The sequence below is a fragment of the Homo sapiens genome, chromosome 22, assembly GCF_000001405.40.
Source record: "Homo sapiens chromosome 22, GRCh38.p14 Primary Assembly".
NCBI lineage: Eukaryota > Metazoa > Chordata > Mammalia > Primates > Hominidae > Homo > Homo sapiens.
In genome coordinates this window covers 24,511,837-24,531,235 of record NC_000022.11, presented here as the reverse complement: position 1 = coordinate 24,531,235, position 19,399 = coordinate 24,511,837, and the positions used below count along the sequence as shown (strand labels likewise).

Below are 19,399 nucleotides of genomic sequence, written 5' to 3'. Positions count from 1 at the left end.
AGGGAACTGGGCTTGGGAAATGGCTGTAAGAAAATGCTGGTACTCTGGCTACTGCTATTGCTGTAATAAACTGTCCTTTGTGTCTGACCCAAGAGTGTCTTGTCTGGTTGGGTGCAGTGACTCACGCCTGTAATCCTAGCACTTTGGGAGGCCAAGGTGGGTGGATCACCTGAGGACAGGAGTTTGAGACCAGCTTGGCCAACATGGTGAAATCCTGTCTCTACTAAAAATACAAAAATTAGCCGGGTGTGGTGGCAGGAGCCTGTAATTCCAGCTACTCAGGAGGCTGAAGCAGGAGAATCATTTGAACCCAGGAGGCAGAGGTTGCAGTGAGCTGAGATTGCACCACTGCACTTCAGCCTGGGCAACAGAGCGAGGCTCCATCTCAAAAAAAAAAAAGTACATCTTCTATGAGCATCTGTGAAACTACTGCAGTAGGCTAACCTAGCTTGCAAATAGAGTAAAATCTCTGACTATTCAGTTTTTGATCTGATGTTTGTGCTTTTTAATATTTCTTCATGACTCAATCTTGGTAGGTTTTGTTTTTAGGACTTTGCCTATTCATTCATTCACTCATTCATTCATTTATTTATTTTCGAGACAGAATCTCACTCTGTGTCGCCCAAGCTGGAGTGCAGTGGCACAATCTTGGCTCACTGCAACGTCTGTTTCTCGGGTTCAAGTGATTCTCGTGCCTCAGCCTCCCAAGTAGCTGGGAGTACAGGCGCACGCCACCACACCCAGCTAATTTTTGTATTTTTAGTGAGACAGGGTTTCACCATGTTGGCCAGGTTGGTCTTGAACTCCTGACCTCAAGTGATCCACCGGTCTCGGCCTCCCAAAGTGCTGGGATTACAGATTTGAGCCACCATGCCCAGCTGGAATTTGCCCATTTAATCTAGGCTATCCAGTTTGTTTCCATACAACTGTCTGTAGTACTTTATAACCCTTTTTACTTCTGTAGAATTGGTAGTAGTGTCCCGATTTTCATTTCTCCTTTTAGTAATTTGACTCTTTTTCTTACTCAATCTAGCTAAAGGTTGTCAATTTTGTTGATCTTTTTGACGAAGCAACTTTTGATTTTGTTGACTTTCTCTTTTTTTCTTTTTCTATTCTCTAGCTCTGTTATCTTCCTTCTAGCTCTGTTCTTATTGGCTTCCTTCTGTTAGCTCTTTCATTTGCTCTTTTTTTGTGCCTTAATGTGTAAATAATGTGTACAGTTCAGTTGGTTTTGTTTGTTTGTTTTTTTTTTTTTAGAGACAGGATCTTGCTCTGTTGCTCAAGCTAGAGTGCAGTGGTGCCATCATAGCTCACTTAGCTCACTGCAGCCTCAAACTCCTGGGCTCAAGCAATCCTCTCACCTCAGCCTCTGGAATAGCTGGGACTATAGGTGTGCACCACCATCCCTGGCTAATTTTTAAATTTTTTGTAGAGGGGCCAGGCAATTCTCCCACCTCAGCCTCCTAAAGTGCTGGAATTATGGGTGGGAACCACCATGCCTAGACTCTTCTTTTTAAATGTAAGCATTTATAGCTATAAATTTCTTTCAGTACTGCTTTTGCTGTATCCCACAGGTTTCGGTGTGTTTTTGTTTCATGTGTCTCAAGATATCTAACTTCCCTTATGATTTCTTTTTTGATCCATTGGTTGTTTAAAAGTGTGTTGTTGGTCAGGAAGGGTGGCTGATGCCTGTAATCTCAGCACTTTGGGAGGTTGAGGCGGGCGGATCACTTGAGACCAGGAGTTCAAAACCAGCCTGGCCAACACGGCAAAACCCTGTCTCTACTAAAAATACAAAAATTAGCCAGGCATGGTGGCATGTGCCTGTAGTCCCAGCTATTTGGGAGGGTGAGGTACGAGAATCACTTGAACCTGGGAGGCGGAGATTGCAGTGAGCCACAGTTGTGTCAGAACAAGACTCTGTCTCAGAAAACAAAAAGTGTGTTAATTTTTTTTTTTTTTTTTTTGAGATGGAGTCTTGCTCTGTCTCCCAGGCTGGAGTGCAGTGGGGCAATCTTGGCTCACTGAAAGCTCCATCTCCCAGGTTCACATTCTCCTGCCTCAGCCTCCCGAGTAGCTGGGACTACGGGCACCTGCCACCACACCTGGCTAATTTTTTGTATTTTTAGTAGAGATGGGGTTTCACTGTGTGAGCCAGGATGGTCTCAATCTCCTGACCTTGGGATCCACCTGCCTCGGCCTCCCAAAGTGCTGGGATTACAGGCGTGAGCCACCGCACCCGGCCATTGTTTAATTTTTAAAACTTTCAACTACTGATTTCTAGTTTTGTTCCATTGTGATGGGAAAATACACTTTTATGATTTTAATCTTTAAGTTTACTGGGAATTTTTTGTGGTCTAATACGTGGTCTGGTTTATATTTAATAATGCCTTAGCCCTTTTTTTCCTATTAATTTTTTTTAAATTTTATAGAGACAAGGTCTATGTTGTCCAGGCTGGTCTTCAACTCCTGAGCTCAAGTGATCCCCCTGTCTCAGCCTCCCAAAGTGCTGGGATTACAGATGTGAGCCACTGTGCACAGCCTCCTTTTTTTCTTTTGGGCACACTGAAGTTCACCTACTCCACCCCAGATTCCGGCAATAAAGCTATAGCCTGGCAGGAAGGTGGCCTTCCAGAACTGAGAATTTCTAGGGAGAAATTCTTGAGCCCAGCCACCTGTTATCTTACCGGTGAGAAAACTGAGGGGTCAGAAGGCTTCATCCAAGATTGCACAGGGGCCCACAGGCCTGCAGGCCATGTACACTGAACCACTGCAATTTCTTGTCTGAGAGACTGCCCTGTAGCATCAGCAATGATCACCAGGAAGCAAAAACCTCCACCACAGATTCATTCAAATGTTTACTGAGCATCTGCATGTTCCAGGGATGAGTTAAACCTTGAAATGACCTTGGCTGTACAGGGCCTGCATACTCTAAGATGGGCCTGACTGTTCTGTTTCCAGGCAATGAGAGTTGCAGATAATCAAAGAGTTGTGGTCCATTTATTCATGCCTGTTTCACAAATGTACCAATTTGTCACCTAAGCTGGCTTCTGTATTAGGTTGATTACACCCTCTAGAAACCAAAAACACTAAGGTGTTTTGTTTTGTTTTGTTTTTTGAGACGGAGTCTCACTCTGTCGCCAAGCTGGAGTGCAGTGGTGTGATCTCGGCTCACTGCAACCTCCGCCTCCCGGGTTCAAGTGATTCTCCTCCCTCAGCCTGCTGAGTACCTGGGACTACAGGCGTGCGCCACCATACCCAGCTAATTTTTGTATTTTTAGTAGAGATGGGGTTTCACCATGTTGGCCAGGATGGTTTCCATCTCTTGACCTTGTGATCTGCCCGCCTTGGCTGACACTAAATTTTGAAAGCTAAAGGAACAGGCAAAAAAGCTCACTGTGTCTGTAGGACTGGAATTTTTTTTTTTTTTTTTTAAAGGTGCAAGAAGGGCCATTAGGTAAAGTGAAAACCTGCAGCACAGAGAGTTCAAGGAAGTTACCGCAGAGCTGTGGCCAGGCAGCTCCATCAGGGTTTCTCATCCTTGGTGGCTGTCCAGGAGTACCCTAGCCCTGACATGGAGGTTTCCATATAGTTCAGCTGCTGGGCCAGTGAAGGGATGAAGCTGCCTTCTCTGGCTGCCTTCTCTGATTGGGAACAATAAGCGGGGAATTACAGAATCTCAACCCCACCTCCAACCCGATACTCTGGTTAACTGCTATTTGAGACTTGGCAGGTTGGGCTCTTGCCGTGTTGTTCAGGGACAGGGCTAAATAGGCGCTGCACTGATAACTGCCAAGGGGCTCCCTGGCCCATCTAGTCTGTCTCTTACCAGTGTCTTGACATAAAGCAGGAATATGGTCCCCACCCCTTTTTTTTTTTGGAGATAGGCTCTCACTCTGTTGTCCAGGCTGGAGCACAGTGGCGTGATCTCAGCTCACTGCAGCCTTTGCCTCCCAGATTCAAGCAATTCTCATACCTCAGCCTGCTGAGTAGCTGGGATTATAGGCATGCGCCACCATGCCCAGCTAATTTTTGTATTTTTAGTAGAGACGGGGTTTCGCCGTGTTGGCCAGGCTGGTCTTGAACTCCTGACCTCAAGTGATCCACCTGCCTTGGCTTCCCAAAGTGCTGGGATCACAGGCATAAGCCACCCCACCACACCTGGCCCAGTCCCATTTTACAGATGTAAAAACCAAGGTGTAGAGAAGTGAGTAATCTGATGTGTAAAATGGAGCTCAACCACATTAGCAGAACTAGCAGAATTAGTAGGTGATGGATAGAGATATAAAAGGATTTAGTGCAACAAATTACCTTCTATGATGATGGAATCTGGTCAGGCAAGTCTGATATCCACAGGACAAGCCATCAGAAAGGGCAGGCTGGAACTCTGGGCACAAACTGATGGCTGATGGCTAGTCTCGCACATAAATAACTATTGCTGCACCATGCCATGGACTACCAACTACCCTCTTTACCCTGACTCTATGGAAATAGAGTCATTGATGCCTTTAAGTTCAATCAAACTAGGGAAGAATTCTAAAAAAATCCAGAACCAATGCAGAAAACTCATCTTTAAGATTCTATTTTTCTAGAACCACTTTTGGCACCAAAATCTGTATCAGTCAGATTCAACTAGAGAAGCAGAACCAGTAGGGGATATATTGAGATTTATTGCAAGGAATTGACTTCAGTGATTGTAGGAGCTGGCTAGTCATGTCTAAACTCTGTGAGGCAGGCTATCAGAAGGGCAGACTGTCAGGAACTCTCGCCAAGCACTGGGCTGCTGTCCTCAGGCAGAATTTCTTCCTCAGGGAAACCCTTAGCTCTGTTCTTTAGGCCTTCTGACTAATCAGGTCAGGCTGACCCAGATTATCTGAGATAATCTCACTTACTTAGTCAATTGGGAATGGACTTCTGTCACATCTACAAAATACCTTCACAGAAATACCTAGATTAGTGTCTGATTGAATTACTGGTGACTGTGGCCTAGCTAAGCTGACACATCCAAAGACCATCCGACCCACCACAGCCTTGCTGTAGGCTCAGGGTCTCTGGATCAGCCCTCACCCTCTTCCCACTGGTGTACGGGATGGACAGCATCATCTGCCTAACCTCAAATCCACCTGCACAAGCAGTACCTGGGCATTTTTTTTTTTAGTTGAGGTAAAATTTACATAACAAACATTCTGAAGTATACAAATTCAGTGGCATTTAGTACATTCACCTCTACCTAGTCCCCAAACATTTCCAATACCCCAGAAGTAAGCAGCCCCTTACCCATTAAGAAGTCACTCCCCATGCCACTCTCCCCCTGCCTGGGAATTTTAAAACCAACCTGGACAATGTTATTGGGGAGAACCTGGACATGTTAAGCCTGCCACACTTGCTAATCCACTGGGGCAGAGGTGTCTTCCTCACCCCAAGGCAGGCACTGAAGCCGGCTACTCTTTCACGATGGTGGGGCTGTAGTTGGACTTGACAGCTTCGGCGAGCTCCCGTGCGTACATCTCATACCTGCCCGTCATCTGAAAGCAAAACACAGATGTACTTTAGAGGTTCTGGTTTTATAAATCCCCATCACTTACACGCCACCACCTCTTGCCACTGGAGGGCAGTCATGGGGCAGGAACGCATCAGGAAGGCTCGTTGACAGTGACCTCTTGGCACTGATTCTAGTACTGTGGCAAAGTTCACAGATGCTACAATGACTCATACAGCCCAGCATTGGCTGCTGTGACCCCTTCGACCTGTCTATCCAGAAAGTGTGGTCTGCTGAGGCAGGATGGAGAAGGGGAGTCCCGTGGTCCTGTTGCTCCCCAGAAGAGCATCCTACAGCCCAGAGAGGAGTGACCTGCTCCAGGTCACTAGCCAGTTGTAGAAAAGGCTGGGATTTGAACCAGGGGCTCCTGGATGGGCCTGGAGTTCTGTCTACTCCATGTGGCATCTCATCGTGGATACAGAGGCTGGTGGAGTTGGAAAGCCCACCCACAGTGCTCACACCCAGCACACCCTCCCTCCCTCCCTCCTTTCCCAAGGTGGATTACTCCCAAAAGCCTTGACAGGAGCTCAGGCCCATTACCAAAGTTGGGAAGGCTTCTGCTTCTAAGAAGTGTCTAATGAGAAAACATTTGGTTTACTGCTCCTGGGATACTTATTAAAAAGAGTTGGCCAGCATTCTTGGCTCCCTTCTGATTTGGGTGGAATCCTACATTCATCCTAGTTGCCCAGGAAGAGGAGAGAGAGGTCAGGAGACTCTCTCATGCCCAATACCTTGTTTGTCTGACAAGGATCCGAGACTGAGGAACCCATGCTCAGAAAACAGGATCAAGGCCAAAAGCCCATGTCTGGGTGGATTAGAGGCCCTGGTGGTCTTTTAGTCACACCGGGCAAAGTCAGTTATAACAATGGACATTTGCATATACAATTTGCTTATAAAAGGTTGCTGAGGCAGGGCACAGTGGCTTATGTCTATAATCCTGGTATTTTGGGAGCCCGAGGTGCGAGGATTGCTTGAAGCCAGGAGTTCAAGACCAGCCTGGGCAACATAGTGAGACTCGGTCTCTATAAAAAATTTTAAAAATTAGCTGGGTGTGGTGGTGGTGCACGCCTATAGTCCCAGTTACTCGGGAGGCTGAGGTGGGAGGATGGCTTGAGCCCAGGAGGTCAAGGCTGCCATGATCTATGGCTGTGCCATTGGTCCAGCCTAGATGACAGAGCCAAGACCTTGTCTCCATGCCCCCTACTCCACCAAAAAAGAAAAAGGGGTGCTGAGTTGGTGGAAATACTTTCGGACACTAATACAGCAAACTCTGAAGCTGTGAGCCTTTCTAGGGTGGAGTCCCATCCCAGGAGGGCAGACATCTCCATTCCTCTGACTCCTGACATCACAGGGCATTAGGTGTCAAAGCCAGCATGGGACCTTCGAGTTAAGCCCCGTATTTTACAACTGGGAGTACTAAGGCTTGGGAGCACAAGGGGCTTAATTAAGGTGACCAAGGAAGGAAGGCTGTGGCAGAGCCAGGCCTAGATTCCATTTCTCTGCATGACCCATTTCCTGCTATCGTCAAGGCCTAGACTGCAGGGACTGGCCACAAGCAGAACCAGACATGCATATTTATCTTGTGATAAGTGCAAATGCCTGGAAAGGAAAAAGGATTAGAGGAGCCAATCCATTCTATTCTCTGGACAAATGAAATTGAGATTAATTTGTCTGAAGGCACCCAGAATCTAAATCAGATGAGAGGAGAATTTATTGCAGCCTGCTGCTTGTACATTGTTTGACCCAACTGTTCCTCCCGGGAGCCAGCAAGGAGGCAGAGATTCAGCCCTCAGCTCACACAGAGCCCTCAGGTGGGAGCTGGTACCTCATGCTGCCATGGGCAACCCCGCAACAGCAGTTCCTGAGAGCAGGATGAGGGCCAAAGCAGAGGAGCAGGCAACAACAGGGGTCCTGGGGACCTACCTTGAAGTTCCAGACATCATTCACCTGCTGGCAGAGGTTTAGGTCGAGCTTAGCAACTAGCAGTCCATCCCGGCTACGGGACAGCCCAGGAGTCCGGCTGCTGTCAGGGGCTGCCACATAGCTCGAGCCATAAAAGTAGCCAAAGTCCTGGTGAGCTTTAAAGGAACAAAGAAACACATCTGTGAGCTTGTGTAGATGCACTGTGGGCTCCACAGAGGGTCAGGCACCTTGAGGCAGGCCCAGGACACGGAGTCCATGCCATCCTCCCCAGTGTCTGCCAAATGCTGAGGCCCAAAAGGCCTGTCTCTCATCTCAGGCCTGAAGGCCCAGCAAATTGCTGCAAATGGCCCCCTTATGCTGCTTCCCTTTGCCCCTGGGGAAATGTCTAAATGTCACCCTTCTGAGAGGTGTCACTTCTACCCACAGCCTAAGGAAAACAGAAAGTCACACTCTGGGGGCTTCCTATGGGGGCCCTCACAGTGAGCTGGAGGCTCTGCCTTCATCTGCCTTGCCAGCTGCGTCACCCTTATCCTCCCTCCAGGCCTTGGTCCCTTCACCAGTCAGGGAGGACTAGCAGCCACCCCACACATGTGTAAGGAGCAGGTGGGGCTGGGCAGGGCCTAGCATGGCCCAGATGCAGCAGGCACCCAGTGGACGCTCATTCCCCTGCCCTTTCTGCATCTCTATTTGCAGTAAGTTAACTAGGATCAGGGACTCTAGAAGTCGGGGGACCTGAAATGGCGGCATCTGGGACCCTTTCAGGAAGTGTTTTCCTGGAAAACAGACTCGCTCAGCCCCTTCTGGCATTTTTTTTTTTTTTTTTTTTTTTTAGGTGGCATTTCCCTCCTGTTGCCCAGGCTGGAGTGCAATGGTGCGATGTCAGCTCACCACAACCTCCACCTCCTGGGTTCAAGCAATTCTCCTGCCTCAGCCTCCTGAGTAGCTGGGATTATAGGTATGGGCCACCATGCCCGGCTAATTTTTTGTATTTTTTTTTTTTTTTTAGTAGAGACTGGGTTTCTCCATGTTGGTCAGGCTGGCCTCAAACTCCCAACCTCAGGTGATCCGCCCGCCTCAGCCTCCCAAAGTACTGGGATTACAGGCATGAGACACCATGCCTGGCCTCCTCCTGGCTTTCTAGAGGACACTCTGAGCTACCTCCAAGTGTCCAAGCTACCTCACCAAGGTTCAGATACCTCCTTGGTGAGGGGGGCAGTCCCTACCTCCCTCATTCTTGGCCAGAGACATGGGAAAGGAGTCTTTAGGGTTCTTAGCAGAGGTGAGGTGGTATATGCCCTTGGATCAAAACAAGCCATGGACTCTAGAAACCCAGGGCCATCCATGCCAATGCCCTGTGGCATCAGTACAGCTGGTTTGGGCAAGGGGAGGGGGGACAAGGACAAAGGAAAGTGGAAAGGGAGATCTATGGGCTGGATGAGAGCACCTCTCCCTTTCAGAGAGCTCACAGAGGATCCCCCACATCCTCTTGGTTCATCTTCACACCAGTCCCGGGGAATGGATGGAGTCCAACCCACTCCTCAAGCTCAGGACTGCCTATCCACACCCCAGCCACAGCCCGATTCCCACACTGCAGGCAATAAAGCAGAGAGGAATTGGCGCCTCCTCCTAGGTGCCAGGCATGCAGATGTGATCTGTGTGGCAGATCCTGACTGGAGGAAGCAGACAGAGAAGGGGAGAGGAAGGCCCACTCCTCAACTGCAGCCACCATGGTTCATGGGACATACCTTTCTTTCCATCTCCCGAGGTAAACTCGTTCGGGAAGTGCTCCTGTGAAATAAGACCAAGGTAAGAGGAACCTATAGGTGGCACTACCACTACACTCATTCCAGCTCACTCAGCCAGATGAGCAGGGCAATCAGGCCGAGAGGCGAGTCAGCCAGGAAACAGTTAAGGTGAGCTGGAATGGTCTGTACTCACCGGGCAATTAAGTGCTTATTAAACACTCCTGCTGAGCAGCCAGCCCTGGGCCAGAGGGGAATTTGACAAGCGGGGTAAAAACCTGGATGGTGCCTTTGGGGAGTTCATAATCTGAGAGAAGAGAAAGAAACTGGGCACAGACTGGTTCTCAGGGCTGTGGGCACCTGAGGCTGGCCTGCTTGAAGTAATTAAAACCCCAGGCCGGGGTGTGTGAAGGCAGTGGGCAGGTACACACACTGCTTTCAGTATTTCCTCCAGAACCTAATGGAAACTGTACATCAACCTGTGATGGGGTTACATAGGCTAACTAAAACATCAGGTTTCTTTTCTATTTATTTATTTAATTATTTATTTATTTTGGAGACGGAGTTTCATTTTTGTTGCCCAGGCTGGAGTGCAATGATGCGACCGCGGCTCTTCCACCTCCCGGGTTCAAGCAATTCTCCTGCCTCAGCCTCCCTAGTAGCTGGGATTACAGGCGCCTACCACCGCGCCCGGCTAATTTTTTGTATTTTCAGTAGAGACAGGATTTCTCCATGTTGGCCAGGCTGGTCTGGAACTCCTGACTTCAGGTGATCTACCCGACTCGGTCTCCCAAAGTGCTGGGATTACAGGCATGAGCGTCCGCACCTGGCCTTTTTTTTTTTTTTTTTTTTGACAGAGTCTCACTCTGTCACCCAAGCTGGAGTGCAGTGGCGCGATCCTGGCTTACTGCAACCTCTGCCTCCTTGTTCAAGCTATTCTCGTGCCCCAGCCTCCTGAGTAGCTGGAATCACAGGCACGTGCCAGCCTGCCCTGCTAATTTTTATATTTTTAGTAGAGACAGGGTTTTGCCACACTGGCCAGGCTGGTTTCAAACTTCTGACCTCAGGTGATCTGCCAGCCTCGGATTCCCAAAGTGTTAGGATTACAAGCATGAGCCACCAAACCCAGCCAAAACATCAGGTTTCTTTATGCTGCTAGAAGTCAGATAGACTTAGTGTAGAAACCTTGGTTATCTCAGACTGAAAAGATCTTCTGATTAGAGTTTGCTATCTGATTAATAAGGATGAGGAAGAGATATAATAAGTGCATTCTGTTTGGCAGTCAAAACTGTTAAGTGTATGGGGTCAATGGGGAAAATAAACTGGATACTTGGAGGTGATAGGGTGAGAACTGCCATGTCAAAGATCTTTTCAAAAGGGCTTCAGCCAAATACAAAAACAGAAAAAACAGGAGGACAGAGATATCTTGAAAAGTAACGGACCAAGCCAGTTTTACCCCTTTCCGGACCCTAGGATTTGTGGCATGTGTGCAGAGGGAACGGGGTGTCCCCACCAGAGCCACCAGGTGGTGGCTCCTCTCCCCAGCCAGACCTCGGGACTTACGGTGCCCACTCGATTGATGGCGCAGGTGAAGCAGTGATTGGCAATGGCTGCGTTTCTGGCCTCGATGGGCCACAGGGACTCGCTGTAAGAGAGGACCAAGAGGAACCAGGTTGCCGACTTTCCAGGCAGACTCAGTGGATGCTCAGCCCTGAGCCTGGCCTGGCTGCAGGCTTTCCTGGGCCAGTGGTGGGGACAGAGCCTGGCCTGGCTGCAGGCTTTCCTGGGCCAGTGGTGGGGACAACCAGGAGACTCACCGGTCACACCCCAAACCTGCAACCAGGCCAGCCTGTCCTCAGCACCTTGCCCTGGCCTGAACAGCCTTTGGGAAGGGCCTGCTGCAGGCATAAGCCACGTGGCTGTGCTCTGTCAGAAGAATTAGCAGCCCTGGATCAAATCCTCATCCTGAGCCTCAGTTTCCTTTTCTGAAATGTCCTCAAAAGAAGACTATGAAGACTGAATGACCATGCAGGTGAAGATCCAAGTGGTAGGAGTTCCATAACCACCACTTCCCACCTCCATCCCTTCTCCTGGAACCCACCTGCTGGGCTGGGCAGAACCTCTCCTGGTGAATGCCAGAAGGGAGCCGGGGGCCTGGTGGGCTTGTGCAGGGCCTGTGAGGGCTGAGCACAGGCTGTACCTGCCCTACCCTAACTCTCCTACTCTGCTATGCTGCCTTGCAAGGCAATCTCCAAAGCGGGTGATTTCAGGGCCAGTAAACAAGAAAGGAACTTAGGTAATAGGATAAGGGGTCAGATTCGGCAGCAGGGTCACCTCCTCCAAGCTGGGCCATTTCCCAGTGACTTCCCATTTCCCTCTTCTGAACCTTGAGTCTCTAAGTAAAGGCTCCCTGGTTCTCTTACTGGCCAGTGGGCTAGTGGCCCAGGAGGGAGGCACCCCATGTGCTTGGCTGAGCTGTGGGCCTTCCTCACTTCAGCACCTGCAAAGGGAGAATGCGATGGGAGACACGGCCCCAACCAGAGACCCTGTCCTTCTCTGGCCCGCCAACTAAGATATGACATGGAATCTAGTGGGCCTTCTTGTCACTAATTATCTTTTGTCTGAGGAACATCTTTAAGACTGTGGATTGACAGGAGTAATGCCCACTTAGAAACACTGTGTGACTAGGATCAAAATGCCCCGGAATCTTCCTTCGTGTCAGCAGGCACCTGGTTTAAACCAGGGAGTAGGTGGAGGGGGTGGGTGCTTGTCATAAGCCTAATTCTCAGGAGGATTCATGAGTCTGAAAAAATAAAAAATCACAGGCTTGATTGAGGGGACTCATTTTGCTGCTTTTTTCCCCCAGCTGCTAAGCCAAGCTGACAAAACTTTTCAGAAATGATTTTTACAGAAACACACCAGTAAATGACATTTTCAGGAATTAAATAGACACTTGCAGGGCGATTGCCATAAACATCTTAGTTGCAATTCTCCAGGGAGGTGTTCTGCATAGGACCCAAACCCACAGCTGGAAATAAAATTTATGCTCTCAAAACCACCAGGGGAAAGGAAGCTGGGGTTAGTGAGAGCCCAGTGTGTGCAGGAATCATGACGTCTGATGGGGAGTGGGGACGTTTGCCATATTCCCAGCGCGGTGCACACACACCCCTAAAAATAATCGCAGTGGAAAGGCAAGATGCAGCAAGAGGATAGGATGGTGACTTGCCAATGAATGTACACAGGTGGTAGAAATCTTTGGTCACCCAAGCTGTAAGGGACACATCCTTGGATTATGAGGATAACCTAATCAAAAGCATTCAGACACTACTATGTACTTAGAACTGTGGGACTCAAAAATGAATGAGGACACCCTGCTGACCCATGTGTGTGCATGCACATGTGTATGTCTGTCTCTAATACAGGCGGCAGAAGGTGCCAGAAAAGGGGATGGATGGTTCTGGATGCTGTGATCCAATGCTGGTGGGGATTTGCCCAGCATTATGCTGAAAAACACTATCAATTCCATCATTCATCATTTTAAGAAAACAAGCCAGGATCCTACCATCTTAATAAACCACCTGTTGCCTTTTATCCACACTCCATGACTATCCTCATCCATAGGCAAACTTTTTTTTCCTTTTTTTTCCAAGAGTTCTGACCACAGCCTGAACACGTCTTTTTCTTGCTCACAGGCTTTCATCACTTTGCATTACCTTCATCATGACTCTTTATAGTGGCTGTACAATAACCTGTGGAAGAGGTGGGCTGTAATGTGCTTAGCTCAGACACTTCCCCCGCTGTCAGCTTTTCCCTTATTGTAAGTAAGCTGTTGTGAGCACCTTCACATGCATTGCCTTTCCCTGTTTTTTTTTTCTGTCTTGTTCTGTCACCCAGGCTGGAGCGCAGTGGTGCAATATCAGCTCACTGCAACCTCCACCTGCTAGGTTCAAGCGATTCTCCTGCCTCAGCCTCCCAAGTAGCTGGGACTACAGGTGCCTGCCACCATGCCCGGCTAATTTTTGTATTTTTAGTAGAGATGAGGTTTCACCATGTTGGCCAGGATGGTCTCAAACTCCTGACCTCAAGTGATCCGCCAGCCTTGGCCTCCCAAAGGGCTGGGATTACAAATGTGAGCTACTGTGCCTGGCCTTCCCTCCTCTTTTAGATTGTTTCTTCAGGCTACAGTTCTAGGAGCATCATTATCAGGCCAAAGGGCATGAGCATTTTAGGAGCTCATGAAACATACTGCTTTCCAAAAGACCTGTTAGTTTTTACTGCCAGCCTCACCACACCCTGGAAAGCCAAGGGTTGGATGATTCTTGGCTGAGGAAAGAAAAATCAATCATTTTTAATAAGCCTAATAGGCTGCTGAGGACATAGCAATTATATGCATATTACACTGGGGTGCTTCTGTTTGCCTAACTGGAGCCAATAAAAGCCTGAGATAGGAGGGTCAGGGAGGGCCTCTGCACACACAAGGCGAGGAGCCATCTGAGTCCACAGCCACAACTTTGTCTGCCCTGGCCCAGAAGCCAGATGCCCTAGTGCTTCGGGTTCCTCTAGGGACCCCAGTGGGAAGATGGAGCTTGCCAAGTGTCTTACCCAGAGCCAGCAGAGGGGGCTGCTTTAGGGGGTGGCCCCAAAGTTCTGCCCAGGCCTGGTAGCTGGATGACCAGTAAAAACCCTACTGACAACCACCAATGAATGCTATCACTGGTGATCTGACCACCATGAGACTCCAGTATGTTCTCTGAGGGGAGATGGAGGCCTGATATTCCCCTTCTACCCAACAGTACCCCTCCTGGACATGGACCAGACCTCCAGGTACATGGGCAGGGTGGTAGACCTGAGGTAACAGAGGAGGGGTTGCATTCTGGCTCCAGAAGGAACCTGCTATGTAAATAAATGTTGAATGGGGAGGGGATATTACTCTTGAGAAAGGGGCACTGTATGAAAAGAAAAGGTAAATGTCACACCCTGACGTTTAGAAGAAATTCAACTGAAATTTGGCCGGGGGCAGTGGCTCACGCTTGTAATCCCAGCACTTTGGGAGGCCAAGGTGGGTGGATCACAAGGTCAGGAGATCGAGACCATCCTGGCTAAGACGGTGAAACCCCATCTCTACGAAAAATACAAAAAATTAGCCAGGTATGGTGGCGGGCGCCTGCAGTCCCAGCTACTTGGGAGGCTGAGGCAGGAGAATGGCGTGAACCCAGGAGGCGGAGCTTGCAGTGAGCCAAGATTGCGCCACTGCGCTCCAGCCTGGGTGACAGAGCAAGACTCCGTCTCAAAGAAAAAAAAAAAAGAAGAAATTCAACTGAAATTTAGTCAAGAATGAGGACAAGAGAGACAAGTGCAGGCTGACAGAGACTAAAGCTGCACACCCACCAGAACTCCCCCTGCTCCCCACCCATGGCAGGACAGGGCACACCCCTGTCCTGCTGGGGACACTGGCAGCCAAGACCACAGAAAGTGAAAGCCAGCACCTCCTGCTGCAGGAATCCTGCTTGGAAAGAAGTGAGTTGGGGAGAAAAGTATTTGCACATAAATTCCTAGAGTTCTGTTACTTGTAGTGATGCAAAACTGGAAACCACCCAAATGCTCAGCCTTTGTGGAAGAGAGAGGCAGCAGCAGCAGAGTCATGCAGTCAGATCAGCTCGCTGGATGCCCCTCCTAAATGAGGGGCCCCAGGGGTGGGGTACTGCCCAGTTCTCGGGCTTCCGGGGCCACCCTCCCCTCATCCCCCAGCCCTGCCTTGACAAGGGCAGTTCTATCTGTTTAGGGGTGAGGCTAACACCGAAACACTTGTTATGTGTTATAAAAATAAAACCCTTCTCTGGTTAAAGACAAGTTTCCTCGACTGATCTCCAACTCCCTCATTTGCAGCTTCTCTTGTCCAGATGTCTGTCCTGCCTGTGCAGGATGCTGCAGATGTGAGGACTAGGAATCCACAGTTCCCCATCCAAGAGCCAATGCTGGCTAGGCACCTACTATGCTCCAAGGACTTAGATGTGGGGGTTCTTTTTTGTTTTTTCGTTTTGTTTTGTTTTATTTTTTGAGATGGAGTCTCGCTCTATCACCAGGCTGGAGTGCAGTGGTGCCATCTTGGCTCACTGCAACCTCCGCCTCCCAAGTTCAAGTGATTCTCCTGCCTCAGCCTCCCGAGTAGCTGGGACTACAGGCACACACCACCACGCCTGGCTGATTTTTGTATTTTTAGTAGAGACAGGGTTTCACCACGTTGGCTAGGCTGGTCTCAAACTCCTGACCTCAAGTGATCCACCTGCTTCGGCCTCCCAAAGTGCTGGGATTACAGGTGTGAGCCACCGAGCTCAGCCCAATGTGGGGCTTTTTGAAGCCCCCTGCTGACTACAGGGAAAGGGGGGAATTATTTTCATCTCAGTGTTCAGAATCACAGCAGAGGTTGGTGTTTTACTGTAGAGCAGCTCTTGCTGCGGGTGGGGGATTGCTCATTGCCATCTTGAGGATTCTTTTCACTGAAAAGCTGGTCACATGTACAACATGCAATCCTGGGGGCTCAGCTCTGTTAACATCCTGGTGGCTGCGCCTGCCTGCTGCCACCTTGGAGCTCCACAGCCCAGCCTTGGGCTTTAGCTGGCTGGGCCCCAGGAAGCCCCCCAGACCCCACCAACTGAGTGACCTGAGTGCTCCTATCGTGGCCGAGGGGTTGAAGATGATCTCAGCCCCGTTGATGCTGTACATAAGCCAGTTGAGGGGGTGGTGCCGCCCGTAGCAAATGTTCACCGCGATCCTTCCGAACTGCGTCTGGAACACGGGGTGGCCCAGGTTTCCCTCCATGTAGTAAGTTGACTGAAAAGCAAAGGGCCATATACTGATGCCTCTGACCTTCAAGATTTCCTTAGACTCAGCAGAAAAACTGAAATATCACCAATAGTCCAGAGGTGGTTACACTCCTGAGTGTGACTCTAAGTTCCAGAATTTCAATATGATAAAAACAAAACACACACAAAAAAACCCTGACACCAAATAAGCCAGCCCCCGGGGGAAATCACAGTGGCTTAAGCATTTGCCCAGTCTCCTTTCTGACATGTCACAAAAATCCCCACAATGACGTTCCACACTATTTCAAACTCTGGTGAGGTTTCAATTATGGTCCAACTCAAGGCTCGGGTTTGGTTGGCATTAACACGAGTTGGTCAATGCCCTCAGCAATCACATGTCATTATATAGAACGGTGGAGCCCGGAGACCTGGAGCACATCCAAGCAACTCTCTCCCTGGTCAGAGGAGAAAGCTGCTTCCTGAGGGGGCATAGCTCGCCCAAATGATTAAGGCCAAAGCTTCTAGTGGAACCCACACCCTGAAAGCGCACCTTCTCCATCCTGCCTAGGGTTAAGGAGGTCCCTGTGGGGCAGGCGGACCAGACCCCATCCTCCCATCCCTGCTTCTCTGTCTGCTCCTAAGGGTGCCAGGGCAGGGACACTGTCCTGGACAGCACTGAGGGAAGCTAGAGGGCAAATCAGGGTCCCAAACAGATCTGCTCCAGGAGCCTTCCACCTCCTCCTGATCCTGGCCATCAAAATTGGCCAGGGTCAGGCAGCAACCAGGATGTGTGCACGTGGTGAACACCGGAGCAGATCCTGCTGTGCTGAGACAAGCCCTGTGCTATCTGCAGGGAGCTAAAGATTAATCCCAGGGTAAACAGGTGAGGGGCGCGTCTTCCCACCCCCACCTCCAGCTGTTACTGAGAAACGCTGGGTTCTTCTTTCTCCCTGGGAAACCTCCTCTAGCTCTGCAGGCCATTTCTTATCTGCCTGACCAGCCTGAGAACGGCCAGGACCCCCACATTCATGGAGAGAGAACTGGGGACATCACATCCTGAACAACTGCATTAATGGCAAATCAAGTTCAGATTTAACATCTTAGGCATTAGGCAGAGGTCATTTCCCTCCTTCAAACATCCACCGCTCCCATCTTACCCACCCAGGGGTTGGCATTAACCAACCAAAATGGCCCCCCCAACTTATGCCCTGATCATGGGCACATGAAACTTCACATAATGCACAGTATACAGACATGCATGTTTGCCTACTGCCACCTGACACACAAACATGGGCCACCTCAGACCCCCCCATGATCCACAGACAAGGAATGCCATGCTCCAAACAAGGACAGGGCTGTGGCGTGCTAGGCTCTGAGCCTGAAAGGGGCCACAGGAATCATTTCATGTTTGTGCAATATTTAGTTTTGGTTTTAATTTATATACCACTTACTTCAAAGAATTCAGGAGGCCAAATCAGGTTGTATTAAAAAAATATATGCCCCATTGTGCTAAAGGTGTTTGGGACTCCTCTGAGAGTCCCGCCTGAATCCTGTCTGCCTGTGTGATATAGGGCAATGTCAGGTAACCCTCTGAGCACTGCAGCCACACTGTGCTCCCGTGGAGTGTACGTGACATGGAGTATGATCCTGCACAGAACTTCCCCACAGAAAGTCCCACAGAGATCTACAACATACAGAGGGGCAAGTGAGCAGGGCTGGTTATCTATCTTATGGGTGGCTCACCTCGTTGAAATCACCCACTCTGGGGATGTGGTTTTTCCTGGTCTTTCCCAGGACTGCTCCGGAATTGGAGATCACCACGGCTGTATTCCACAAAACATCCCCATGCTCGCTGTCTCGTTCCAGGATGGGAGACACCACCACCATGTCATGGTTCTTCGCCAGCTGGAAAAATGATAAATATGGCAGAGTCCCACTTATAAACCAATTGTTGTAGTTTTTTATCAAAGAAGAATGATCCTACTAAATCAATAGGCTTGGGTCAGAGCAACCACTTGCATTTGTTGTTTGGAACACTAAATACCCTGATGTCCATGCTTTGCTAAATAAGAATCACATTGTCCTGTACACAGTTGGTGGTAGAGTAAAATGGTGCAGCTGCTCTGGAAAACCATATGGGAGTTCCTCAAAAAATTAAACAAGAATTACCATTTGATCTGGCAATCCTAATCCTGGGTATATATCCAAAAGTATTGAAAGCAGAAGAGATTTGCAAACGCATATTCATTGCAGCATTATTCACAATAGCAAAGAGGTGGGAGCCAACCAAGTGCCCATCAATGGGTGAATGGATAAATGAAACATGGCACATCCATACAATGGAGTATCATTCAGCCTTAGATGCCACGGTTCTACGCTACACATGGATGAACCTTGATGATACTATGCTAAATGAAATAAGCCAGTCCCAAAAAGACAAATACTGTATGATTCCACTTGTGTAAGGTATCTAGAGTAGTCAAACTCACAGAAATGGAAACTATAATATTAATAGAACGGTGGTTGCCAGGGGCTGGGGGAATGGGGAGCTATTGTTTAATGGGACAGAGTCAGATTTGCAAGATGCAAAAATTCTGGAGATCCGCACAGTGTGAATATACTTTACACTACTGAACTGTGCACTTAAAAGTGGTTAAAATAGTACATTTTATATGTATATTTTACCACTTGAAAAAAGAATAAAAATAATAATCAAACGACTTATCTATGCCAAAAATAAATTTCTTTGGCATCAAATTCCTTTTGTCTCAAGTAAGAACATCAGTCCCTGGTGACCACAGGATGAGCAGCCCAGCGGGTCATTTGTCCTCTACTCTAATTAGCTGTCATGATCTCTGGCCTTAACAACAGGATAGGGGAGAGGCATGCTCAGAAGGCAACACTAGGAGCCATGCTAAGGGCAGCCTCAGGTCCCTGTGGAGGCGGAGTGTCTCTGGCACCAGCTCTCTTTCACACTCTTCCTCCAGCCCTGGCTCAGACTTATCATCTGCAAAAGTCCCCTAACCAGTCTCCTTCCTCTTTTTTCCATAGCAAGAAATCAACAACCTGGTGAATGAGAGATTTTTTTTTTTCCCCTACAGCCTGAGAACATCGATGTTTGGAATCACAACTGAGTATTGATAAAGTCACCATGATTATAGCTCTGCCCCAAAAGCCCCTAAGTATATGTATAAAACCTGAAAGAGAATACAAAGAAATGAAAAGAGTTATTGTGTTAGAGGTGAAAATAAGGATAAATGACCATTCGTCACCTCATGGGTTTTCTGATAACAGTTTTATTAAGATATAATTCAGGCCAGGTGCGGTGGCTCACGCCTATAATCCCAGCACTTTGGGAGGCCGAGGTGGCGGATCACGAGGTCAGGAGATCA

At 48.8% G+C, this 19,399-nt stretch overlaps 1 protein-coding gene across 5 annotated transcripts in view, besides 3 other annotated features; it reads right to left on the bottom strand.

Annotated features, from left to right (window-relative positions):
- Window positions 2,846–19,399, bottom strand: part of UPB1 (beta-ureidopropionase 1) — a 33,059-nt gene continuing 16,505 nt past the window's right edge. The window contains exons 5-10 of one of the 5 annotated variants that reach the window (NM_016327.3): window positions 17,751–17,912; window positions 15,866–16,035; window positions 10,768–10,849; window positions 9,208–9,250; window positions 7,463–7,617; window positions 2,846–5,525 (exon numbers count right to left, since the gene is read on the bottom strand). In NM_016327.3, coding sequence (NP_057411.1) covers window positions 5,442–5,525; window positions 7,463–7,617; window positions 9,208–9,250; window positions 10,768–10,849; window positions 15,866–16,035; window positions 17,751–17,912 — 696 coding nt within the window. In that variant the 3' untranslated portion in view covers window positions 2,846–5,441. Of the gene's footprint in view, window positions 5,526–7,462; window positions 7,618–9,207; window positions 9,251–9,400; window positions 9,512–10,767; window positions 10,850–15,865; window positions 16,036–17,750; window positions 17,913–19,399 lie in introns of those variants that run through there. The other 4 variants (XR_001755249.2, XM_011530223.3, XM_047441404.1 and 1 more) reach the window with 4 other exon arrangements.
- Window positions 5,318–5,497: an enhancer, noted in NCBI's record as "active region_18778". NCBI's record gives its function as "activates an Ori minimal core promoter by ATAC-STARR-seq in GM12878 lymphoblastoid cells {active_cell/tissue: GM12878}" and the evidence as "EXISTENCE:reporter gene assay evidence [ECO:0000049][PMID:35858748]".
- Window positions 9,298–9,357: a silencer, noted in NCBI's record as "silent region_13553". NCBI's record gives its function as "represses an Ori minimal core promoter by ATAC-STARR-seq in GM12878 lymphoblastoid cells {active_cell/tissue: GM12878}" and the evidence as "EXISTENCE:reporter gene assay evidence [ECO:0000049][PMID:35858748]".
- Window positions 16,494–16,543: an enhancer, noted in NCBI's record as "active region_18777". NCBI's record gives its function as "activates an Ori minimal core promoter by ATAC-STARR-seq in GM12878 lymphoblastoid cells {active_cell/tissue: GM12878}" and the evidence as "EXISTENCE:reporter gene assay evidence [ECO:0000049][PMID:35858748]".